Here is a 26,337-nt window from a genome sequence, read left to right as displayed (position 1 = left end):
AGCTCTTGCTAGGAGCCCAGAGCCGTGTTAAGTTCTTCAACTTCCATGCGTTATTACATTTCATTTCTGCTATTCGCTTTATCCTCACTATACAGACACTAGGAAACTGAGGCTCAGAAAGGTTATGCAATTTACTGAAGGTCAGTTAGTACCAGCAGAGCCTTAAGCAACCCCAAGCATCCCCATTTAATAGCCATGTCTCTGGCCCCTGTGAGGGAGATAAGGAAGGCCTCATCTAGGGACCCACCATGGGCTGTGAGCTGTCTCATCAGCTAGTATCAGGAGTGGGCTTTCCATAGAGGAAACGGGACTGGCACTGGTTTGTGGTGCCCAGGAAAGTACAGGGAGGCTGCTTGGGCTTTGTCATTGTTGCCAACCCATGTGTTCTTCTCACTAAGGCTAATCTCGATTATAATGAGGGTTTATCCTAAGTTCGGCAAAGGGAAGGTGGCCAGGAAAGGCCTGACTAAAGGGGTGGCCAAGCTAAAATCTACAGTTCATGCGGACACAGACGGTGGTGGGAGCTACTACAAACACTGACCATATTTAGCAGAAGTTGGGAGATTGCGGACGCCAGCCATCTGCTCAGCAACCCCACTCTGTGGGCCAGGCAGCCGGGCTGGGAGCGTCCAGTGCCAGCCTTGGCTTTCCTAGCCCTGAGAGCCTCAGCAGGGGTTTCCATCAGTCTCCCTTGAGGGTGATCCAAGTTTGAGTAGTAGGAAAGTGACTAACTCCGGGGTAAAGGAGAATCAGAAAGGAGTAACAATCTGACCACCACCAAGAAGGAACAGGCCTCCCAAGAACAAGACCTGCAAGAGATAGCCCATGTTGCAGGAGACCTGCAAAGCCACCAGCTGCCTTTTCCTGAGTTCTCACGGCTGAGACCCAACCCAGATGATACAAAAATTGCCAGTGGGTCAGGCTGCACTTTCCTCGAACTAATCACTAATGAAGTTTGGGGTGAGCTATTTTGAAAGCAGCCCACACAGCATAACCACACGCCATCATCAGCTGCCATCCTCAAATGCAATTTCATTCATAATTGAATATGAAAAAACCACCACCTTAAAATAACATCAGGGGTCACAGCTGAACTCTGCAGCCTGGGCCTATGCATTCTGGCCTGTACTGACCTCTCCGAGATGTTCTCCAATGCTTTCCAGGCATGTACCCTCCCTCCTGCCCCCAGACACACCTTCCCTCTCTGGTCCTACCTGCACACCTTGGCCCATCTCACCTACCTTCCAGGCATGCTTTTCTCTGTCCTCTCTGCCTCCAAGTGCCAGCCAGGATTCAAAGATCAGTTTGAGCACACTCTCTCCTAATAAGCCTTCAACAGCCCAAGCCTGAAGGGACCTCCGCCAGCCTGTAAGCTTCTATAGCAATTGTTTATGCAATCCCTCTGGCAAGGCATGGTGTGCTGCCCTGCGCTGTCCTTCCCCTTGTCCTGTCCAACAGCATTTGCATTCCACGTGGAGGTGTCCTGTTCATTCATCCGCTCATTCGGCACATGTTCACTGAGCACCTACTATGTGCCAGGCGCTGGAGAAACAAAAGTGAGCCATCAGACATGGTTTCTGCCTTCCTGGAGGGCAACTTCTAGAAGGAACCAATGATGAAGACACCAGTAAATATGTAATAGATCTTTCCAGCTGGACTCAAGTCCCCCGTGATCAAGCAGGTTCTGCCTTACTCTCATGCTGGAACCTAAACCAGCATAGGACATACAGTCTGCGCTCAGTAGGCACTGACCAGCCTGGGCGGGGTCACCTCCTCCCTTGTTTACCTGTAGCTCTCCCTCTAGAACTGAACCGAATTTAACCTGAGGTCCTGATATCACACCCTCACCCCAGTCTTTGCCAAGATGCTGCTTCTTGGGGTCTCACATCTGAGGAATGGGAGGTTACTATTCATTTAGGAGGAATCCATTCAGTGGGGATGGTCATCTGAGCCAGGGCCACTCCTTGACCACCTCCCATCCACCTGCTGGTTCTTGGTGGCTCCTGGACAGCCCAGTATTGAGCTGTGAGTTGCAGCAGCTGAAGGGGACCCAGTCCAGGTGGCTCATGAACAAGTAGAAATAGTTTCAAGGCTAGGATCTGAGGGCAGCCCTGGCGAGGAAGATTCTATCCGTGCACAAGGGCAGATCAGGGAGCTATGGAGGAAGTGGCACTCGCAGCTTCTCCACCCGGGTTGGCTGAGAAGAGAAGGGACAGCCCTAGAGAGCAGGAGCTAAGATGTGCCAGGGAGGAGATGTGCCAGGCACTGGGAAAGGGGCCGGGACTGGGTCAGTTCAGGAGACCAGACACCCACCGCGTAGCTCAGCACCTGCTGAACACGTGTCTGGTGCAATGCTGGGCTCTGCTGGGAAGAGGGGTGGGCGTGCCAGGCCTCCCAAAACACACAGACCACGTGGGAAAAGGAGATGACATGCTCGTGAGACAGGATGGGATGTGTACCAGGCTGGGGGTGGCTGTGGTGGCAGTGGCAGCAGCTTCCATCATCGAGATTAAAGATGTAACCGAGCCTCTCATATGCACGGTTATTTTATTTGATGCCCCAACAGCCCTATTACAGAGGTGAGGAAACTAAGGTTCCGAGAGGTTAAATGGCTCTCCCAAGGTCACACTGTTCATAGGTGGCAGGGTGGGAGCGATACACAGCCAGGCTCTCAGGCTTGTTCCTTCCTGGCTGGTGCCAAATCCTCCATGCTCTGGCCACGTCTGCCTCCTGCGTGACTCCTCTGTGTCCCCATCCCTGTTCCGCCAGCCCCAGATGCTGTACGGAGATCTTTAAAGCAGGGGCCCCCAACCCTCAGTCCACTGACAGTCCGTGTCTTGTTAGGAACTGGGCCGCAGAGCAGGAGGTGAGCAGAGAGTGAGCGAGCATTCCCGCCTGAGCCCCATCTCCTGCCAGATCAGCAGGGCCATTAGATTCTCACAGGAGCCCAGACCCCCTTGTGAACTGCGCATGCAAGGGATCTAGGTTGTGTGCTCCTTATGAGAATCTAATGCTTGACGATCTGAGGTGGAACAGTTTCATCCTGAAACCATCCATCCACTCCATCCATGAAAAAATTGTTTTCCATGAAACAGATCCCCGGTGCCAAAATGGTTGGAAACTGCTGTAAAGGCTGGGCATTGAGCTGAGGCCATAGAATTTTCATCATGAATAACATCTCCATGATCAACCCACCGTGTCATACTCCTCACAGCATGATCACAGTCCTTATGTATTTGGATATATTCAAGTAAAGGGGAACGGGCCAGTATTTGTAGAACCAGTCTTCAAATTGTGTCATGGAGGGAAAATGTGGGCTCCCAGCGATGGGTGGAGAAAACGTTTGTCTTAACCAGACGTCCTAATACCAACCCTAGCCCCAATCTTAGCCAAGATTCTGTTTCTTGGGGTCTTACTCTCCTTGTCTGAGAAGCAGGAGGTTAATACTCACCTGCCACACAGGAATTCGATTAGAATTCTAAAGGAGAAAGATGAGTTTCAGGGGTTGGTAAGTTCATTAATTGACTCTGAGTATTCAGCTAATAAGCTTTTACAAACATCTTTCTCCATCCATCCCCAAGAATCGCATAGCTTTGGGTCCAATTTGGAGGCCATTACCAACATTCAAACTTCCAGAATCATGACTCTTTCTACATGCAGGAAAGAGAATGTTCTAGAACCCCAAGCACTCATTTCCCATTGGCGAAACTGCTTCTGTTTCTTTTTGCTACCATGCTCCAGTGATGGGAGCTTTCATTTTATTGAAAGTTTTGGGTCTGTCACCAATCATGTCAATCAATAATCAGCAAATTAGCAGCTTGCTTTTGCAGACACTTCTATTTTCAACCTGAAGGGTGGTTTGGGGGTTTCTTTTAAATTTAACTATCCTCATTAAGGATTCATAGCACACCAAAAGAGTGATTTTTTAAAAAAATCATCTTTGCAGAAAAGGAATATCAGCAAAAATAATCACTATTCCGGGCTCAACAATGAGCCCCTAATGAGGACAGCAGTCATCAGTTAAATAAACATATCATTAGGGCGAGAATAGATGTGTCAACACAGGCACAGCCCACTAATTTGTGGGGTGGTTTGTCTTTGGTTAGTCTCCGTGGGGTCCGGCTGGTGCACGGGTGTTCCTAGGTCACAGTCCAAGGTCACTTTTTGCAGGTAGGGCTCAAGGTGTGAGTGAGGTCAGGCCAGGTGGAAGCTACTGATGGGCAATGGCAGAAGGTAGACACTGGGACACTGCCCTGGGCCTCAGGCAGGCCAGCAGCAGCAAGCAGATTTCTACCAGGAAGGCCTGCAGGAAGCCCCAGACAAAGACAGCCGCAGGCAGGAAGGTGAAGATGAAGAGGAGGAATCTCTTGACCAGCGGCCTCATGGCCACGTAGCTCTCAGAAACCACAACCCACCTGAATGTTCAGTGTGGGCATTCATTCTCCACCCAGCTCGCCTCATGGCAGAAGCATGGGCGACACTTCTCAAGAGGGACAGAGAGGACAGAATCAGGTGGTGCTCCCTTGCAACTCCCGGACGTCTCTGTGTCTGGGATCCACAGTCCTTCAGAGATGAAGCTGGGACTGTGGCCACAGAAGAGGTCCCTCTACCAGGGCCTCATGGTCATGGAACTGTGCTCTCTTTCAGCAAATATTATTTCCTTATTTATTTATTTATTTACTTACTTACTTATTAATTTATTTGTTGAAGACAGGGTCTCACTCCATCATGCAGGCTGGAGTGCAGTGACGTGATCTGCCATGGGCAATGGCAGAAGGTCGAAAATGGGACGCTGCCCTAGGATTTCTACCAGGAAGGCATGCAGGAAGCTCACTACAGCCTCGACCCCCTGGGCTCAAGCTATCCTCCCGCCTCAGCCTCCCGAGTAGCTGGGACCACAGGTGCATGCCACCATGCCTGACTAATTTTTGTATTTTTTGTAGAGACATGGGTTTCACCATATTGCCCAAGCTGGTCTAGAGCTCCTGGGCTCAAGTAATCCTCCCATCTTGGCCTTCCAAAGTGCTGGGATTACAGGCATGAGGCACCACACCAGGGCAGCAGAAATTTATAAAGTGCTTTTTATGAATCAGGCATCGTACTGGGTGCTAGGTCACAGCAAGGAGCAAGGTAGGTTTGGCCCTTTCCCACATAGGCTTTAAGTTCAAGGGAAGGGAAAGACAAGAAGTAGTTAAATAATTTGGATAATTACAGGTTATGATGAAGTGAGTAAGCAGGGTGAGATCCAGCCAGCAACTGGGGAAGTCTGATTTTATATAGGGAGGTGGAACAACGGCTTTCTGAGGAGGGGATATTTGAGACAGGGCCTGGCAGAGGAGAACAAGCCAGCTGCAAAGGATGGAGGGAAGGGCAGTTCTGACGGAGGAGCAGGAGGACACGCATGGGCAGAGAGGATGCCTGGACGCCCACTGAGGGTGCCTGGGTGCATACATAAGGGTGCCAGGTGCATGCTCCCAGGGAACCACCTCTCCAAGAAGGAGACAAAGGCTGGGGCCACTGGGGCCCCAGAGGTGAGGATCTCTGGGAAGAGCAGGTCAGAGAAGAGAAGACAAGGGCCAGAAAAGTGGCAGATTGGTGGAGGGAGAGTGAGGAAGATCCTACAAGACTTCTGCATTTTAATGGAGATGAGATCAGTAGCTGAGGCCGGGGGGCAAAGAGGAGAAAAGCCAGTGTGGCCAATTTGAAAAGCAAGCCCAGGAGAGATGCAGTTGGCACATGGCATGCTGAGGGCCCATTTGATGCCCGTGGCCATGGATTCTGAGTGACACCTATCAGCTCAGCTGCATGGTTTTCTCCTGGAGAGCTGGGGTGCAAGGAACTGGCATGGAAAAGGGAGATATCTGAGTTCACCCGGGACTGAAGATTCATCAGGTGCATGAGACAAAAAGAAAACATGCCACAGAGCTAAGAGCTGATAATGGGTGCAAGGAAGTGATGAAAATGATGGACCATGATCTCCCCACTGGGTGAAGGGCAGCGGGAAGACAAGGTCCCCTGCAGGGGACAGGGAGGAAGCTGAAGGGTCCCTGGGTGAGCACACCAATGATTGACAGTGGAGGCATCACAAACAGTGATTTGGAGGGAAAGGCAGTGATGGACTCATCATAGGATGGGTGAAGACCAGATTTCAGAGGAGCTCAGGTGTTGGTCACTGTCAAGCCTGGGTGTGGATCTGAAATGGATGGCTAAGGTCAAGTGGAAGAAAAGTTACTGAGCTGAGAAGGTCAAGGAAGCAAAGTCCAGCCTGTTGGATGCATGACCTTGACATTCTTGGTCAATGTCACTGGCCAACAGACCTGCAGAAACTCGGAGTGAACACACACCTCAGGAGACGGTGACACCAGAATCAAGGACATTGGTGACCTCCTTACAAGAGATCTCCTCAAGTCACTTGGCAAACAAATCTGATGGGGAATCAGCATGACCACTGCAGAGACAGAAGAGATCTAAGATTTATAGTATTCAGTAATTATCTAGTAAGAAATGGTCATCTGTCATAAAGACAAATAATATTCTTTTTTTTTTTTTTTTTTTTTTTTTTTTTAAGATACAGGGTCTTACTCTGTTCCCCAGGCTGGAGTGTGGAGTGCAGTGGTGTGATCATAGCTCACTGCAGTCTCAAACTCCTGGGCTCAAGCAATCCTCCTGCCTCAGCCTCCCAAGCAGCTGAGACCCCAGGTGTATGCCACCATGCCTGGCTAAATTTTTTAAATTTTTTGTAGAGATGAGGTTTTGCTATGTTGCCCAGACTGACCTTGAACTCCTGGCCTCAAGCGATCCTCCTGCCTTGACCTCCCAAATTGCTGGGATTACAGGTGAAATAAGGCCCTTTTATTTACCAGTATCAATGACTTGAGCCTGATTTTCCCAGTCCATTGCTGGAAGTGCAGTAGGGACTGAAACCTCTAGTCCTCAATTCCTTGACTGCAATTGTGTGAGCGGAGCAGTGAAGTTATGTTTTGAGAATCAGAGGTCCTAACTCTCTGCTGGCTCAAGCAAGGGCTTCACTGACCCACAGGTCAAGCTTTCTCAGGCTAGGAGCCCTCAGGACCGAAAAATGGACTCCACTTCAATGCCTCGAAGTTCCCTGGCCACCTGCTTCCATTCCTTTCTGATCCCGAATGAGTACATGTCTACAATGGCCATGTCTTGAGAGCAGGAGGGTCAGTGAAGCCAGACCACCAGCTGTTGCTTCACAGATATGGCCTGGGAGAGCCCAAACGTCAGAGTAAGACAGCCATAGACTACTTTACCTCCTAGAAATGGGAGCCTGAGGCCCAGAGTGGCAATGTAACCTTTTCTAAATCCACTGGTAGCAAAGCAAGGCTTGTAACGAGGCCTCCCCATCCCCAGCTCCAAAGTCGAGTGTCCTCTCAGTCCCTCCAATGCCCCCTGCAGCCCAGAAAACTGCAAAGTTTCTCACCAAACAAAGGCAGATGTAAAGTGAAAATGCCCTAAAATGCCAGTGACACATAACCCAGTGTGCAAGAAACTGACCACTCAAGAGTGAGTTTCTGCCTCGGTTCCACAACTTTTGTCCAAGTTGCTTACAGTACCAAATTTATTTTAATATAATACTATTGGCCACAAACTTCTACATGATCGAATTTAGCACAGTTAATATTTAACATGTGGGCACCTGGCGCCTCCCAGCTTTCTGATGAATAAAGTATGTGATCTATTACTCCATATTAACCCAACTCAAAGAAATTAGTAGTGGTGGTGGTGGTGACGGGAGTAATCATAGTAGTAATCATAGGACCAAAGTAGTATTTATTGAATGCCTACTGTATACCAGGCATGAAAATAAGTGCTTTCAAATACAGCATCTCATTTAAATCATAAGATTATAAATTATCACCTAAACCATATTACTTTGCAATATTTTAGTCCATTCTGCTCAATGGATATTTTTTGAAAATCAAGTAGCACAGTACAATAATTCCCAAATCAATTCTGATTTTTCCTCAGAAATTTGGTAGAGAAAGTATCCCCCCACCAAGTGTAGACCCAGTAAGTTAACTTATGCCCCAGAGCAAACTATCCTGTCAGAGTAATAAATCTCCATTTTAAAAATGTGTGTTTTAATGGAAATATTGACATGACCTTAAGAACACATAGCACCACCAAATAGTACAGCTGGGTGCAGAGAGGGAGAGGGGCCTGATAAACTTTTGTCTGTATCACGCCTGGGCTTTCCAAGGTCTGGAACTATCTTTGCAAAAGATAGTTCCAACAAGAACTTTAAACATAATTTAGATGTTCTCTTAAATAAAATTTCATCATCACTTTCATGGCTGTTGCATTGTATTGGTTGATCCCACACACTTTATAGAACAGAACTCCAAAAACTTAACTCCTTTGAAGGTTCTAGCTCTAAGCAGATATTCTGTAGAACAGATATTCTGTAGAATAGATTCCTCCCCACCTCCCATTCCCCAGCCCCCCACCTCCAAAATTCCAGCTGAGCATATTTTTCTTCAAAGGGCAAAGTTGACCTAGGATTATGTGTGTTCTCTGTACAAAGGATATGTTTTCAGCAAGCAGGACCGCATTCCTACGAAGCAAAAATGTTCCCTGTAAGCTGATTGCTCCAGTCCTTTCGGACCTGTCTCAATAAAGGCTCTGTTCTGTTCACTTGCTGTTGTGTGGCCCATGTTCTCAGAGGTGGCTTAGGACAGGTGTTTGTCTACTGAGAGCCCGAGAGGGACTCTTGAGGGCTAAGAGGCCTCTCTTAGATAGCTGTTGGCCTTCTTGACACACCGACATTTGCAAAGCAACCCCTCAAAGAAGATCCGTTTGAACAAAACCCAACAGAGCTCCCTTGCATGAGGGTATCCCTCTCTACAGTGCTAATTCCCATCTCTCACTCTGATGATGCCGCAAAATTCTATTGTTGCAGGGGGAAAGGGAGGAGTAGAAAAGTGAGAGAGAGAAATCGAGAACAAAATGAAAGCAGCCAATATTTCTAAGTACCTCTTGATGGTCTCTAATGTCTAAAAGCCACCAAACTAGGTCCAAGTACACCAAGCCCCTGGCAACGCCAGCTTCAAGATCAGCAGGAAAATCCAAAAGGAACCCCAATTCACATCTATGAACATGCCACGATCTTTCCAGAGAGAGCCATGTGGATATTGGGTCCAGCAAATCTCTCCCTCCTATAGGGTGGAATCATCACATCAGACCTTCATTTCTGAAACACACAAGTGGTACAAATAACTATTTGCATTACAAAATGATTCCAATGGAACTTGAGTGATTAGTTAGGGCTACGTGGACAGCCAGAACAATGCATCACCATTTATTGAATACGCAATTATTAAGAGCCAAGTCTTCCCCTCTGGCCATGATGGAGAACCATGGAGTTCTGAGTGAAGATCAAGGGCAGCAGAGAGCCCCAAGAGCAGGTTACACAGAGGCCCATGAGTTCCTCTTCTGCCTTGTCAGGGGCTGCAGAGCTTTTGCTGTGATAGGGACATGAGCTCGAATGAGAATCAAAGTTGCCCTTGGGTAGCTGTGGCCAAGTGTGGCCTCCACCGAAGTCTCGGTTTATTTCTCAAGGAGCTCCTGGAGGCCCAAGTCTTTCTCTGCTCACTTCTTCAGCCATCATGGTCACTGGAGCTGGGCAATGCCTCCCCACCTCCCCTGGGGAGTTCTGCAGAGCTGAACACACACAAGGCACCTTCATGTTCACATGTTCATTGATAAACCAATATGAGAGTCATGATCATCATCAGAGTTGTGAATCGAGGGTTTCTGCCCTCTGCCAAGCATTTGATGTGAATTATTTCATTTCATCCACACCCACCTTACAAAGCAGGTTCCACCCTATCTGAGAGAAGAGGAAACGGGCACAGAGTCTGACCTGTCCCCACTAGTAATGGTGGCTCCAGGAGCCCAGGCTGATCCCGCCTGCTCATTCTACTGACTGGGTAATATAACCCCGTTCTCCAACCTTAAAAGTCATCATCGTTCCTAACTCCACTCATCAGAGGACAAAGACATTGCCCAAAGGATAACAATTCCACAGCTCAGGCCGCAGAGGTGAGAGGGATGAACACCAGGGTCTTAGGAGATCCAAGAGTGTGATCTGAGAAGAACTGAAAAAGAGCTTCCTTCACTTGGAAGGACTGAGATGTGAACACAGAAACCCAAACCCAAGCTAAATGCATGAAAGACACCTCCCAAATGAAGGGTGCATGGCTGCTTCATGCAGGTTTCCAGAACTTCCAAACAAAGCCTGCTGAAGGGTTCGCAGGAACAATTACGGCATGCAAATGTCATGTGACTTTTGTCACTGATCTTTCAACATGCAAAGCTGGGTTCATGTGTCTCCAATTCAAAATCCAAAATTGAAGTCTTATGTGGAGATAATTATAAGTGAAAATCAAACACAGGCCTAGAAAACACCCCACTTTCCTCATAAAATAACTGTTCACAGAGAAGAGCCTGGATTCTCAGAGGAAGTCCGGGATGGGATGGACCTCTCTGGATGGGGCAGGGTTCAGTCAGACCTCAGTCATTCAAAGCTGGTGTAAATTCTGGGGCCCTGAGCCCGAGGTCTGAACCCCAAGCCCGAGGAAATATGCACTCCTCCTGGATTAATTTCAACAATGCTGTGTCCTTTAACAAAAGGCTGTAAGCAAACAGGAGATTAAATTGCATAAGGGGGAAAAAAGGCTTTTTATTTTTATTAATGAATTAACTTATTTATTTTTAGAGGCAGGGTTTTTCTCTGTTGCCCAGACTGGAGTGCAGTGGTGCAATCAAGGCTCACTGCAGCCTCCAGTTATTGCTGGGCTGAAGCAACAACACCCAAATCAATAAGACCGCGCCTGAGTAGCTGGGACTATAGGTGTGTGCCATTATACCTGGTTACTTTTTAATTTTTTGTAGAGATGGTGTCTCCCTATGTTGCCCAGACTGGTCTCAAACTCCTGGGCTCAAGTGATCCTCCCGCCTCAGCCTCCCAAAACACTGGGATTACAGGCATGGGCTACTGCGCCCAACTAGAAAACAAAAAAAAAAAAAAAAAAAAAAAAAAAGCTTTTTATAAAAAAAATCTCCCAGTTAAAAAAAAATCATCGCGTGTCTTTCCAGGGCCATTTGTACAGCAAATCCTTCTCTTCTTTGTGCCAGAGATGGGGAGGCACATTCGTGCCTCCCGCATCGAAAGCCGTCTCACACACTGAAAGCTTCACACTGTGCTGGGCGCTTCACATACGTTTTCATTTCCTCCACACCCACCTATGCGTCGGGGGCAGTCACCATCCCCTGGCCCTCTCCTCAGAAAGTTGTCAGTGACCAACTTTAAGAGGATTCTCTAGAAAAAGCCAAAGTGACTTGTCCGGCTGCCTGGAGGACACTTGTTCCCTACCACGAACAAAAAGAGGACATTGCTGTTTAAAGAGCTCTGGCTTCGACAGGACACTCAGCCCCAAATTAGCACCCTGTCTCCCGCACCCTTTTCTCCCTGCACTGCTCTGGATGCCAGACTTTCTGAGCCCACTGTTCCCCTCTTCGCCCCGTGGGGCAGACTCCCAAGGATCCCAGGCCTCCCCCAACAGCATTGGCAGAGCGACGCCAAGCCCGGGCTGACCACTGGGACATGTCCCTGGCAATGGGGACGGCCCTCTTTGCCAAGCCTCTTCAAAGTGGTTGCTATTTCTGAGTTCTGCCTGCTTGCCTGGAGCACAGCAAGGGTTACCATCTGACCCCAGCACTATTAAATCTTTTTAAAGTTTAATCTTCAGGGGATTTTGACTGTAAATAAAGAACACTCCACATGTAGAAAATAAACTTACACTCATGACTTCATGCATGACCCCAAGTTCAATTTCTGTTTGTGATTTAGCAGAGAGGAGACAAGGTATGTGATGCACATCTGCGGGTGTGGGAGGGGCTCCACAGTAGAGAGGCAGCCCCTCCCGTCACAGTTAGAGGAGAGGCGACACCCCCACAGCCACATGGAGGATAGGTGGCACAGCCGGGCAGCCCAGTGCCTGTGACCAAGGTGCAGCTTGCTCCAACAGTGGGCACATCTGGAGGTACTCAGCAGTGACATCTGGGTTGATTTTGTGCCAGGATTTGGTGTCAGGGCCACACTTTCACTGGGGTCATGGTCCACAGATTGGACACCATGCGCAATGCCAGACTTGGCATATCTAAGGTTCTGTGCTCCCCTCAGCCACCCCTAAGTGCTCTGTGGCAAAAGGACAGATGCAAGAAACTTCAGAGTCTGAGGAACCAGACTTGAGCCTCAGGGAAGGGCCCTCTCCGCTGCCCTCAGCCTTTCACAGCTCTCCATGCACAGGCTGTCACTGGAGCCCCAAAACAGCCCCCAGACACTGACAAAACACATGTGAGCACCCCATTTTCCATTTACATGTGAAGAAACTGGGCTCAGAGAAGCCCACCACCAAAAGGGAGCAGCTTGATGATGGCCTGCTGACTTGCAGCCCTGGGTTGCAGCCACCACACCGGCTGCCTTGCCTCCCAGATCCGACATGCCACTGAGGCTTCCAGGCTGAGGGGGAGAACTGGCCCCAAGGGTGGGGGTGAGAGTCACAGGCAAATCGCCTCTAACTAGAGCCATCTTCTGTCCCTCAGTTGCAGCCTGGTGCTGGAGCCCCCAGAAGGCAAAGTGCGGAGGACCTAGACGGGCGTCTGTGCACTTGACACCAACCCCTCCACAAAGCCCTTTCCAGCCTGGCTATCATTCCTCCCTGGGCATGAGGAAGACATGAACCTGACTCCAGAACAGGTGTCTCTGCAAGGCTCCCCAGGCCAAGGAGCAAACGTGGATGGTTCTAGAACAAGAGCACTCACACCCATTGTATGACTTTGGGTGAGGGTGCTTTCTTCCCTGGGCCTCCTTTCCCTAGGTACAACAAACGGTTTAGAAGGTGTCACACAGGACTGTTGTTCGCCACTAGTGCCCTAGGGAGAGCCAGCTCAGCAGTCTTCAGGAAGGACTGGAAGAAGAGAGGGGCTTTTAAGGAGACATGATGTATATAAATATCAGGGGAGATCGGCTCTGACTTCATGGGGTAGGGATGAGGGCATAGTGAAGTAAATTAAAAATGGCCACCTTGTATCATTGTTGGTGATCTCCTTGTCTGAATCTCTCATTAGAACACAAGGAAAGTCAGACGGAGTGGCTCATGCCTGTAATCCCAACACTTTGGGAGACCAAGGTAAGAGGATTACTTGAGCCCAGGAGTTCAAGACCAGCCTGATTAATGTAGTGAGACCCCGTCTCTACAAAAAAATTTTAAAAAATTAAAACTAACCAGGCATGGCGGCATGTGCCTGTGGTCTCAGCTACTGGGGAAGCTGAAGTGGGAGGACTGTCTGAGCCTGGGAGGTCAAGACTGCAGAGAGCCATGATAGTGCCAGTGCACTCCAGCCTGGGCAACAGAGCGAGATCCTACCTGAAATAAAAAAGAAAGAATACCAGGGAAGACACTCTGGAGTGTGGAACTTTGCACCATGCAGATTCCCAAAACACAATGGATGGATAGATAGATGGATGTGTGGAAGGATAAAAAAATTGATGATGGATGATTGATGGATGATGGATGGGATGGATGGATGGGTGGATGGATGGCTAGACAGATGATGATGGATATATGATAGATTGGATGAATAGATAATGGATGATGATGAATGGATGGGTGGATGGATGGATGGATGATGCATGGGTAGATGGATGGACAGATGGATGATGATGGATGATAGATGGATGAATAGATGATGGATGATGATGAATAAGTAGATACATGGATAGATGGATGGAGGATGGGTGGGTGGATGGATGGATGGGATGATGGGTGAGTACAGGTGAATAAGGGGGTAGTTGATTGAGTGGATGAGTAAATAAAGGTGAAAAGGGATGGACAGATGGATGGAGGGAGAGAAAATGGGAAAGAGGGATGGTCAGGTTGACTGAGGGGAAGACAGGAGTGGTTGAGCAGAGGAGCAGGACAAATAGAGAAAGAAGTGAGTAGAATAATGGTAGGATGGATAGGTTGCAAAACTGAGCACTAGCAGAGGGATAGAAACTCTCAAAGGGAAGGTGAAATCTCCAAGAACCAGCAATGCCACCTCTAATCATGGCCCAGACCATCTGGACATCCCAACCATGAGAAGGAGGATGGCTTCCTCTAGACAGCACCTGCCTTCTTTCCCATGCTGCCCAACCCAAGAACCCTGCAGCCCTGGATCTGATTCATCATGAAGCAACCCCAGTCAAGTTCTGATAGAGATAGTATGTTTATTTTTTAAACAGGAATGAATTATTCAGCACTTCTAAATCCAGAATACATCAAGTCTAAACTGACACACACTGTGCTTTTCCCCTCTCCCTGCATACACTTAGAAATATTCTGTAATTTCTTTAAAAGAATAAAATTATTGATTGTGGGTGAATTAAAAATTCAAGAAAGACCCAGGAGCAAACGGGAGGTAGGAGATGTCGCTGGACTGGTGTTAAGTGCCCGAGGAGAAAGGGTAGTCAATGTGGGGGATACAGGAAAGTAAGAAAGGAAGGGATAAAGGGCTAGGGGAAAAGGAGGCATTTCGTTTCTGCCACACTGAGCTGAGTGGAGCCGAGAGTTTGCCTTCACGTTCAGCAGGCATTGGAGGTTTGGATTCTACCAGCAAAGCCCAGCCCAGGTGGGAAGGCCAGGAGGCCCCTTTAGAAGCTCCCTGGCCCTGGGGAGTGATCTGGTTTATTAGGAAAATCATGGAGTCTTAGTCCTGGGCTCAGGAAGGTGTGGGAGCCTCCAGGGCCCCAGGGTCTTGGCTTTGCTTCTCAGGACTGGGTCTTCCAGTCAATGGGATGGCAAGACATCTGACCCAGTACCTCTGCCAACATGGTGTGCTTCCCCTAAGGAACTATCATGCTTTGAGCCTCAGCAAATCTCTCCCATTAGGTGCCCAGCCTTTCCAGGAGGAATCCAGGAAGTCACATGAGGTGGGAAGCGCCAGGCCAGAGTGGTCTCCATGAGGCAGGACCGCAGGCCATCTGAGGCCCCCACTAGGAGTGAGAGTAAGGGGCTCGGTGGGCAGGAGGGCTGTGAATGGAGGGCTCATGAAGAGTTCATGGCCAGCCCAGGTGATGGGCAATGGGAAGTTCCAGAAACTTACTGTGAGCTCCAAAACATGCATTGTTTCAGCTACAAAGCATTGATGAGATGGAATAGGAAGGGAAATTCGGGAAAAGGATGGTTCCTTAGGAAGACTGGGCTGGCTTCCTGTGGGCCTGGCCAGGGGGGCAGGATTTAAAGGGACCCCAGAAGCAAGCATGTAACACACGCAGCCCTCCCAAGAAGGCGCCTGCAGAGTCCTTAGGGCGACAGGACCAAGTCCCGCAGAAACAGAGATGGGTTTGTGAAGCAGGATGGACAAGCACAGTGGAGTCCTCTGAGCCAGGAATTTCCCCTGTGGGCATCTGGCTTAAGGAAATCACCCAAAATGAGGGGGAAAAATTGTCTTCTTCATACAAAGATGATCATCATAGTATTTTTTTATATAGAAAAACTACTGGAAATAACTCAAAGCCAATAATAAAAGAATTATGATATAAATTATGGCACATCTATTCAATGAAAAACGGCAGCTATTACAAATGATGGTCCCAAACTCAATGGGAATTTGGCAAAATACAAATCACGTGATGCCTGAGGAAAAGACTGAAAGCTAGTGGTACAATTTTTCTGATTATATATATGGAAAAATGTGGATGAACAAGGGAAGATGAGGCCAGACATGGTGGCTCACGCCTGTAATCCCAGCACTTTGGGAGGCCAAGGCAGGCGGATCACGAGATCAGGAGTTCGAGACCTGCCTGGCCAACTGGTGAAACCTTGTCTCTAATGAAAATACAAAAATTAGCCGGGCATGGTGGTGCACGCCTATAATTCCAGTTACTCAAGAAGCTGAGGCGGAGAATTGATTGAACCTTGGAGGCGGAGGTTGCTGTGAGCTGAGATTGCACCACTGCATTCTGGCCTGGCCAGCAGAATGAGACTCTGTCTCAGAAAAAAAAAAAAGAAAGAAAGAAAAAAAAGAAAAAAGAAAACAAAAATTAAATTAGCCAGGTAGACTAATTAAAAAAAAAAAAGAGGAAGATGAAAAGGAAGTTTACCTAGAGGTTAGCATCTGGTTTGTGTTGGAACAGGGGTAATTAAGGGCACTTTGATTCCCATGCATCTGTTTTCTAAATTTGTGGTACCGAATGAAGATTTCTTTTATCATTTTATTTATTTATTTTTTTAAGACAGAGTCTCGCTCTGTCATCCAGGCTGGCGTGCAGTGGCGTGGTCTCGGCCCACTGCAACCTCCACCTCCCAGGCTCAAGTGACTCTCCTGCCTCAGTCCCCTGAGTAGCTGGGACTACAGGCACATGTCACCATGCCTGGCTAATTTTTCATATTTTCAGTAGAGACGGGGTTTCAACGTGATGGCCAGGCTGGTCTCAAACTCCTGACTTCAAGTGATCCTCCCACCTCGGCCGCCTAAAGTGCTGGGATTACAGGCGTGAGCCATCGCACCGGCCCCTTTCTACCATTTTAAACTATGAGCATGGTGAGGGCAGTTGTAGGGCCAGAGCCAAGTTTTCTCAGAGTTCAGAGAAGAGTTTGCAGAGAAAAGGAGATGAGCCTGGGGCAGGTGGATTTGCAGAAGAGAGGGCTGGGAGGTCGGGGTTGCAGCGTCACACAGCTGGAGCTGATTTCCTGAAACCACACCTGACCCTGGAGCCAGAGCCTGCGAGGGGGCCCCACGCCCAAGGGACGGAGATGGTGAGATGCATTTTTCTGTGTCACTGGAATAGAGGCGCAGGAGGACAAGGTTATTTCTGTGTGTTTGTCGCTGCACTCCCAAAGCATGACACACACTAACCATTCAATACGTATTCTGTGGGTTAATGGATTGAAATATGCCTCTGTGGAATGTGCCTCTGTTTTTGTGACACGTCCGGCGCACAGTGGGCCTTCTCCTGCTTACACACTGAATTTAAGGCCCTGATTCTCCCGGGAGCCAAGAAGAGGAGAGCTCCAAATGGCGTTTCACGGAGAAAATAAATCTGGAAATCGTTTGGATAATCCAGGTCGGGGAGGGGAGCGTTTTACCCTTCCCTGGGCCCAAACTTCCCAAATACCACGTACGCTCCACACCGTTCCATCTGCAAGGCCTCCCAGAGGGCTCTCTGACGGGGGCTCCGTGGGCTGCGTGGACATCCAGCCCAGAGAACCCCTTGCCCCTCTGCTCCACCCCAGTTCCTCATTCTGGCAGGTCCTGACCCCCAAGATGCTGTGTGTTTTTCCCTGAAAACCAGGAGATAAAGAGGACAAAGAATTGAGGAAGTCTAATTTGCTCAAAGAAAGTGCGTTACATGGTTTCTCTGAGAAAGACTGAAAACATTCCTGATGAATCGTAGCCCAAAGACCCTGATTAAAATGGACTAGAATGAATCCACTACACTTCTATTTAAAAATGACATGCCATTAATTCAGTTTAATTCAAATATTAAACATGATTAACATTTCTATACGATTTATCAGGATTTAAGAAAAAAATAAATGACAGTGACCATCAAAATATTGACAGTTATTGGGAAGTGACTTCTGGTGTTTAATCAATGTTTTTTTTAATCATGTGATTTTTTTCTTCAAGTCAGCTTCTGACACCAAACTACATTTCATCAAGGTTGGTAAAATGTTTAGAGAGGAACAGATGTCAGAACATGGGGATTGCCAGTAACACTGATGGGAGCCAGTAATTTCCTTCCTGTCCAATGGCAAAAGGATGAAAAAATAATCTAAATTGCATACAGTCATGCAAGGTTTACTGAAACATTAATGGCTATAAAAAGTAAGAGCACACAAAGCTATCTCCATTTTTTTCCCCAAAACATCACTAAGGGTAATGACTTTTATATTTTAATTGTTTTAATTTATGAGAAATTCAACAAAAACCTTTACTTTTAAACCCTGAAATAGCTACACAAATACAGCTGATGATATTGATTAATGTTTATTAGCTCGTTCCAAATATACTTGCATCTTAGTCAATTCTGCCATTTAATAATTTTGCTAAATCTCAAAAATGGAGATGCAATCTTGCCTTTAAGAAGGCAGCCCTGCTAGTTATTTACAGATTGTAACATTTACATAAGAGTTTGGTTTAACAAGAGATATAAATATAGATAAAACCCTTAGGACTTCATTCTTTAAACTGCCCTCTAAAAATCTGCCCTGCAATTTGCAAACTGAATTTTGTGCAGACTATTCTTGGAAGCCTTTGTGAATTAGGGAGAACTAACTCAAAGCAAGGGCTGGCTAATCACAATTTTGCAAATTGTACGTAGCAATCATCCTCACATTGTGAAATTCAGATCTATAAAATGCTGATGTTTTAAAGTTGAAAAATAAATTAGCTCACTAGAACTATTTCGCAAAAAAAAAACATCAGTCTGAGCCTTTACGACTAAATTATTTGTTTTAAAAAAATTAAAAGATAGTCACATTGGTAGCAAATAATAAATAAAGGCAGAATATCATTCCAGCATGTTCCTGCCACGATCATCTGAACATCGGAGGGTGCCTCCGGGTGTCCCCAACTTCCCGGCATCTCCTAGAAATACTCACCTGCGTAGAGCGTGCGGACCCTGTAACTCCCAGAATACACTTGTGGCCATGCCCGGACTTCTATTTTAAATGCCTGCAGTGTATTTGTCTACGATCTGGAAAACGCTCTCAGACAGGGAAGGGATTAGTCAACATATTCTTTGATATGTCATCTATTCACTTGCTAAAGCCGATTCATGTCCATCCAGCCAAAGAAGTTGGCAGTTAGCATTTGTTTATTTGTTAAAACCAATGCCATTTGGGTTACAAAAACTGTAATAATATCAAATATAAAAGAAGGGAGCAAACTGCCCCAAAGGCACTCTCCAAATCCAGTCTATCTGAAAATGGAGTGGCCCTGGGTGAAGAAAGCTGACCTTAGAAGAGAAGCTTACTGGCCCACAGAGAACAGGACACGACGACCCAGGGCTGCGGGTACATTGCAGTGAATTTTCTACAGATCCTCACCCTAAGAGAAGAGAGACATATACATGCAAGCGCACACATGTGCGCCATGCACACACATGCAAACACACGTGTATGCACAGACTCATGCGCACACACACACACCTAATGTGCCTCTTGTTAGCCCAATGCCCCATGCTGTAGCCTGCACACAGAGTCAGAGGTGGATACAAAGACTGAAGCTCAGCAAACCCTGTTTTCTCAAACTCCAAGGCCTCTCTGCAGTCTTTCGCTCTAGTGGAATCTTGTGATATTTAAAATTGCTTGAAATTAGCCCATATTTAAAACTACTCTAATTCCATTGCAAAGGCATCTGCCCGCCCTAGCCTTGGTCTGCATCATTTCATTGGCTCTTTTCAGACCTACGTGTGGTTTGCCCGGTTCCTTCCTTGTTCTTGGATATTACACCAGTTAAATATAAATGTAACTGATATGAGGTTTGATATCACCCCATCTTCATGCATTGTAAGCTCCTTGAAGGCTGTCATACACAGTTCTGGGCACAGCACAGTTCTGGGCAAATATGCAACTGAACCTCATGCAGTGTTGGGAGAGGGCTCCATCAGCTCAAGGGGTCCTGGGGGAAACTGGCCAAGATGGTTTTATCATTTTAAAAAATGTGATCACAAGGACCTTGGAAAGGGCAGGCCGGATGTGCCGACACTTGGCCGTTCTGCCAGTATCCTGCGTGCCACTGTGGAGACGGCTAGACACCAACTCCAGTCCACAGAGGTGGCATTTCTTACCTCAAGCACTCGGTCGCTTAGCCTGCAGCGTAGGCATTTTGCGTAACATTGCTTCTAGAAAGCAAATATTTATATTAGTAAATACCATCAAGATATGATCTGCATTCAAGTGTTTTCTATAGGTAGCTGTTAGAAACAAGAAAAGAAATTGCTGCCTAAGTGGTGAAGAGGGAAAACAAGATGTGTGGGCGTCTCAGAAGAATTGATGAAATGCCTTAAAATGTTACCTTTCTGCTCTTAATTCTGAATGTTGACTCAACACTCCATTACAAGGTAAACCCTCCAAAGACAATGGTCAGAGGTCATTGAAACTCATCTCCCCCTCCAGAAGGAATGCCCAGCCCCGCTCCAGCAGCCAGGCGCAAATGGTCTGCCCAAGACACATTGCCAGCAACCTCCGTGAGGGCTGGGTTCAAACGCACATGGCCTACGCCTTCTGGAGCACAGACCCCTGGAAGGATGGGGTGAGAAAACAGAGGCACCCACTCCTCGGGCCGCTGGACTTCCAGCCAGGCCATCTCCACATCTGGGAACAGGTGTAAAACCAGGGTGTAGGTGCAAGACCTAAAGAGACATGTCACCTACCATGTGTCTGCCCTGAACTCAGAGGCACCTGCAAGGGGCTCTCCTAATGCCTGGGGGGTGGCTTGAGATCATGGGTGGCTAAGAATATGTCCCTGCTCTGACAGGACCCAGCTGGGTAACCTCAGACAAGACAGTAAGCCCCCTGCCCCTCAGTTTCTTGTGGAAAAACAGCATAATTACACCTGTCTTCTGGGAGAGGGGAGCTAGGACCCCAGACAGGGCTGGGTTCAAGGTGTAGTGGCTGTCTTCACTGTGGGGTGGCTGTAGGTGTTTATAACAGTATTTTAACCTACATTTTCAATTTTAAGTTATTGAACTACAGGCTATCAGAGCTTTGGGCACCTTAAGAATAATGAGGGCTAACCCCCTCTCTATCAGGAGCAAAGGGAGGCCTTGCCAAGCCCACGCTTTGACCTGAGTGCCCATACTCTGCTGTCCTGCAAGCTGTGTCCCCCTCCCCATGTCCCTAGGCTCCTCAGGGTCCACAGCCAGGCTTCACAGGGCTTTATGCTACATGCCACGGCAGGGCGGGTATCTTAGCATCCCACCTGGACCAGGCTCAGCACGGGATTCCACGGCCTGCACAGGCCAGGAAAGGCAAATCATGTAGGCTTTATGTACCAGCCCTCAGGTGGCCCCAGAAACCACCTGTTGAAGACCTTCCCAAAAGTCTTCAGCACACACCTGGAATGGCACCCATGGAATGAAGAGCAAAGCAAATGCTCTGTAATGTAACAGGATGAGGCCTCACCCTCTCATGCCCAGACTACTGCCTGGTACCTCGTCTTTGTAGCCAACCCTCCCCTACCCTATCCATCCTGAGCAGTCTTTCTAAGCCTTCCCTGATTATGTCCTTCCCTTGCTCTACAGCAGCCCCCCAAAAATGTTTAAAATATGTATAACAAAGGGGTAATGTCCAACATATGTAAAGAGCTCTTGAAAATCAATTTAAAAAATAGAAAAATAGGAAAACATATTAACAAGCAATTTATAGAAGTCATTAGAGTGGGCAATACAGATATGAAAAGATAGCTAGTTGTACTCTGAATGAGGGACATACAAGTAGATGATACCAGCCTTCCTCCTTCATACTGGCAAACATTTAAAGGAGCAATAACATTCAGTATTGGTGAGGTTTTGGCAGGTAAGTACTATGCATACAATATTGGTAGACATGTATACAATGTACACAAACAACATTACTTGGAAGGAAATTTGGTGGCGTCTATTAAAGAATTAGAATATATACCTACTGATTCTGCAATGCTACTTCTAGGAATCTATCCTACAGAAATACCCAAACTTGTTTACCGTGATACAGTGTTTACTGCAGCATTTTAAGCGTAATGTCGAAAAGAAAATGGAAACCTCCCTCATATCCAACATATGGGTACATGAATATGAATATGCCATACCACACAGAATTACACAGAAGTTAAAAAATGTGTGCACCTCCTATGTATCTGATGTTTTGATCTAAAAACAATACTGTTTTTTTTAAAAAAAGTAAGTCTCAGGACAATATGTATAGTAAGATCTCATTATGTAGGCTTCAATGTCAATTTTATGTAAAATACATATGCATGATTTTCTTTTTGTGAATATTCACCCTACACATGATGTATATATACACCAGTCCAGCAGGTGCTGTTTACCAAACCAAAATGCATTATAGGAATTTTCTCCATCGATGGGAGAAGGATTTGGAAGTAGAGTTGAAAGGGGTCTTTTAGATTTCACGTTACAGAAATCTGTGTTGTTTGAATCTTAATAGTGAACCCACAGAACTTTCGTAATTCAGTGAAATCAACTACACTGAAACACGAAACCCTTCAGGCTGCCCCTCCTCCTCCAGTACCAAGACAAGGATCCTTCACTGGACTCAGGACCTTCCTATCGGGCCCCTGTTGACCTTCTCAAACCAGACCCTGCTACAGAGGGCCCAGAGGGGGGTGGCTCATGCCCCACCATCATCCTTCCTTCCTTTTCTTACCTCTGCATATAAAACTCTGACTCAATTTTCCAGGCCACCTCCTCCAGGAAGTCTTCCCTGACTGCCTCCTCCAGGAAGCCTTCGCCTCCCTACTCTCAATAACTCCTTTCACTATGCCCTATAAACTGTTATGACCCATCCCTTACTCCTTAAGTGTGACTCACATTGGACAGTACACTTCACAAGAGAAGGACCATGCCTCTTCATTCTCCCCATCAATGCATATTTGTTGAGCACCTATTATGTGCTGAGCAAGCTTCTAGGTGCTGAAAATACAGCAGAGAACAAAAGGCATGAGATTCCTGCCCTCAAGGAGCTGATAATCTGGGACAGAAGAAAACAGTGAAATAAGAAGAATAAGCAGAAGTGCCAAGGGGAGAGAAGCATGGAAGAGAAACTAGTAGGCGTGGTGGGGAGGAGGACCCGGTGGGCCACAAAGGCCTCGCTGAGACATGCCATTTAGGCCAAGGCCTGCAGGTAGAGAGCCAGCAGGGAGAGTGGGGCCAGTGGGTGGGGGATCGGGGCTGGGTACCCTGCAGGAGCTCAGGAACCACCTGTGTAGACAAGCAAACAAATAGCTCCACCCAGAGAAAGGGGAGGGGTTGGGTGCGATCACCCACCTTAGCCTGCCTCTTGCTCATTGCCACAGGCACATTCCTCCTATCAGACCAATAAGAGCCCTGGACCACCTACCCAACACCTTGCCCAGGCCCCTGGAGTGAGGGAGAGAAGGGACCTCCCCAGCGAGCCGGGATCAGAGCACAGGCCCACAGGGAAAGCTACTTAGGTCAAAGTGCAAAGATAACCCTGACAACATGAGTCCAACAGCTGAGCTCTGCCTCCCAGATCCTGGGAGCTGGTGCTGCGCCTACAAGGCTCTGGGAACACGGTGTGGCTCTTTTCTCTATGAGGGCAGCCACAAGGGTGGAGGACAGCAGAGCTGAGACCTGATAAGTGGACCCTCGAGATGTGTGGCACCTGGCAGCAGGTACCAAGGGCACCTGAGAGCTGCAGCTAACTCACAAAGGAGCTGTCTCGACGAGGGGCAGAGTCTCGGAACCAGGGCCCCAGAAGGCATAACCTGCAGGAGCCCTGTCTACACCACAGCCTGCACGAATGATAGTCCAGCCCGCACCGCCCCGCTCGAGACTCCATTCCCAGGGACACCATGGTGCACCTGCAGCTCAGGACTGCTGCCCTGCCCCAGAGGGGTCCCCGGGGCCCCCAGGCCCTTCACTCTAATGTTCTCTGCACAGCAGGTGAGCAGAGCCCTCTGCCAATTTGCAGCCCCAGGAGACAGCAGGGGCCTCCAATAAGCAAAGCAAGCATTTGCTTAGCACACCAGCCATGCAGGGCCACCTCAAAGCTGAGTACATTGGGAATAAGAGCTGGAGTTGACAGTCCCAAAGGAGCGTTGGAGTAGTTGCCATGGGAGGCAGCAGGACTTTGATGAACTTCCTTACATCTGTGTTATGGCCTAACCTCTATTCTTTACTCTGAAGTCCGCATAGTGCGGAGCGAGGGACAGGGCCATCTATTCTCGGAGCCCAGGCTTCCAGGGTCTTCCTCTGGTCCCATGAGAAGGCCTTCAGGTTGGGAGACTCAAATTTCATACACCACTTTTCCTTAACGGGGAACCCACCTGTACTCAGGATGCCACACTGAACTGAGGACCCCCAGAGGCCACTCTTGGCCTGGGCTTCTCAGGGATGCTGGAAACCACAGTCGGGGTGGGCAGTGTGGGGACAGCAGGCTGTGAGGCTCTCCCTCCTGCCCAGTCCTTTCAAGCCCCACCTTGGACAGGGATCTCTGGCCCTGGGAGGCTTTGGAGGTCATGGGGTGAGGGTGAGAGTTGCAGGGGGTGGCAGGTAGCAGAGCTTGGGGTTTTGCTCAGAGAATGGGCTCCCTGTGGAGAGTGCGGAGTGGGTGGGCTTCCCCAGGACCCCTGGGAAACAGGGCTGTGTGTGGCCAGGCTGAGATCAACCTGCTCTGACTGACACAGTGGGGAGGAGACAAGGCAGGGGACCTAAGCAGAAGTCAGCCACCACTAGTAGATTTTCTAGGGGTTCTTACCACTTAAGGTTATTTGGCACCAGCAGAAGGCCCAGGCAGGGCCAGCTGTGTCAGGAAAGGTTTGACCCGAAAGCTCACTGTACAAGGCGCCTGGACAGGGAGCTACCTGCAAGCAAACCTCCACCCCGCTATCTGGGCAGCCCAGGCTCTGTCCAAGCCTCGGGCTGCAGAGACTGTGTCACCTGCTAAGGCAAGATCCTTGTGAGTGCCCCGGGCTCTGTGTCTGCCACGGCCTTGTCACCTCGCTAAGCCATCACAGAGACCCAGGGATGATGCCTGGCATGTCTGCTCTGAGGCTCACCCCAGCGGGATCTGGAAGTCCCTGGCCTTTCACTTTGATAGGAAGGAGAGAAGTATGGGAAGTGTGGCCATCATGATGTCTGGGGACTGAAGCAGGCCCTGCCCTGCAAAGGGCCAGAGCAAATGCTACTGTACCCATTTTGCAAAAGAGGAAACGGTCCCAGCAAAGGAGGGAGGCTGCCTGAGGTCACAGAGGCGTTCGTGGGAAAACCCAGGCTCCTGGCTCTCTGTGCAATGCACATCCCAGCCCACTAGGCCGCCCGAGGCACAGTCCGAAGACCATACCCTATTATACAACTGCATAGCACACATCCTTCACCCTAAGCAAGAGGGAGCCACTCTGACCATGAGCAGTGGGGGTGGTCCACACCCTCCTTCAGATGGGTTCTGGACACCTGGTCCCCCCATGCAGGTGACTGTGGGAATCTTTCAAAGACAGAAAATACTTTGTAAATTTTATGATTTTTATTTGTATTTTAAACTAGTTTAATACAAAAAGAAAAATAATCACTTTAGCAAAAACTCCATTGATCTGACTTAACTAGAAAAAAGATCGCAAGGAATCCCAGAAGCTTGTTTTTGGAAGTTGCTTTGGAAGCCAAATGTGAGCATGGGAAGCTCTGTGCGCTCGGGCCAGCAAGGGTTGGAGAGAAGGAAGTGGAGGAGGCAGGACCACCATTCCACTCTCTGAGACAGGCTTTCTCCGGGAAAGTTGTGGCGCGTCCCCCTCTTCCCTTCCATCCCCGCCCCCTCTGTTCATCCTGGGGTGCCCACAGACCTTCTCTTCTCCCCACAGTTAAGGTCACATGCACCTCGCCATCCTGGAAAGGCTCATCTTCTCTCATGCACCGCCTCTCTCCACCTGCAAAATGGCAAGTGCAAACTGTACCCAGGTGTCCAAAACCGTGGCACGGGCACCAGTGATGGGAAGTGAGACTCACTCATTCAAATTTAATTTAATTTAATGTTTTTCTTGCAACAGGGTCTTGCTCTGTCACCCTGGCCAAAGTGCAGTGGTGCGATCAGAGCTCACTGCAGCCTCCAACTCCCGGGCTCAAGTGATCCTTCCATCTCAGCCTCCTAAGTAGCTGGGCTGACAGGTGCACACCACCTCAACTAATTTTTTTTTAACTTTTCGTAGAGATGAGGTCTCACTATGTTTCCCAGGCTGGTCTCGAACTCCTGGCCTCAAGTGATCCTCCTGCCTTGGCCTCCCAAAGCACTGGGAATACAGGTGTGAGCCACCACGCTTAGCCTTAAAATTTTAATAGTCCACTTGCATTTACTTTAATGTGACTCAGGGAAACATAACTAGCACCTTCAACCCATGATCTCACAGCAACATTAGGACTAGGCTAACTAAGTTGGGCAGGTATCAGGCTGGGGAATGAGAGAGTGGGGGTGGGGGAAGAGAGAGAGAGAGAGAAGTTGATGTAAAGCTGCTTCAATGAAAATATTAAACAAATAATAGGAGGGTATGGATATGGCAAAAGGAAATACACGAAGACCATATGGGGAGTAA

General features: G+C 48.2%; 1 protein-coding gene across 42 annotated transcripts in view, besides 1 other annotated feature; it reads right to left on the bottom strand.

Moving 5' to 3' along the window:
• ZNF536 (zinc finger protein 536) overlaps positions 1-26,337 on the bottom strand; it is a 487,995-nt gene that overhangs the window by 375,729 nt on the left and 85,929 nt on the right. The window contains exon 3 of one of the 42 annotated variants that reach the window (XM_017027534.2): positions 1,242-1,542. The exons of the other annotated variants lie outside the window; for them this stretch is intronic. The gene's annotated coding sequence lies outside the window, so the exon portion shown is untranslated. The remainder of the gene's footprint in view (positions 1-1,241; positions 1,543-26,337) is intronic. 42 annotated transcript variants of the gene reach the window in all.
• Positions 16,493-16,992: an enhancer, noted in NCBI's record as "H3K27ac hESC enhancer chr19:30811773-30812272 (GRCh37/hg19 assembly coordinates)". NCBI's record gives its function as "activates a minimal SCP1, AML or CMV promoter by ChIP-STARR-seq in primed H9 embryonic stem cells {active_cell/tissue: H9 hESC(primed)}" and the evidence as "EXISTENCE:reporter gene assay evidence [ECO:0000049][PMID:30033119]".

Source organism: Homo sapiens, chromosome 19 (genome assembly GCF_000001405.40).
Source record: "Homo sapiens chromosome 19, GRCh38.p14 Primary Assembly".
Taxonomy (NCBI): domain Eukaryota; kingdom Metazoa; phylum Chordata; class Mammalia; order Primates; family Hominidae; genus Homo; species Homo sapiens.
The sequence above is the reverse complement of the archived record's forward strand: the minus strand, read 5'-3'. Positions and strand labels throughout refer to the sequence as shown.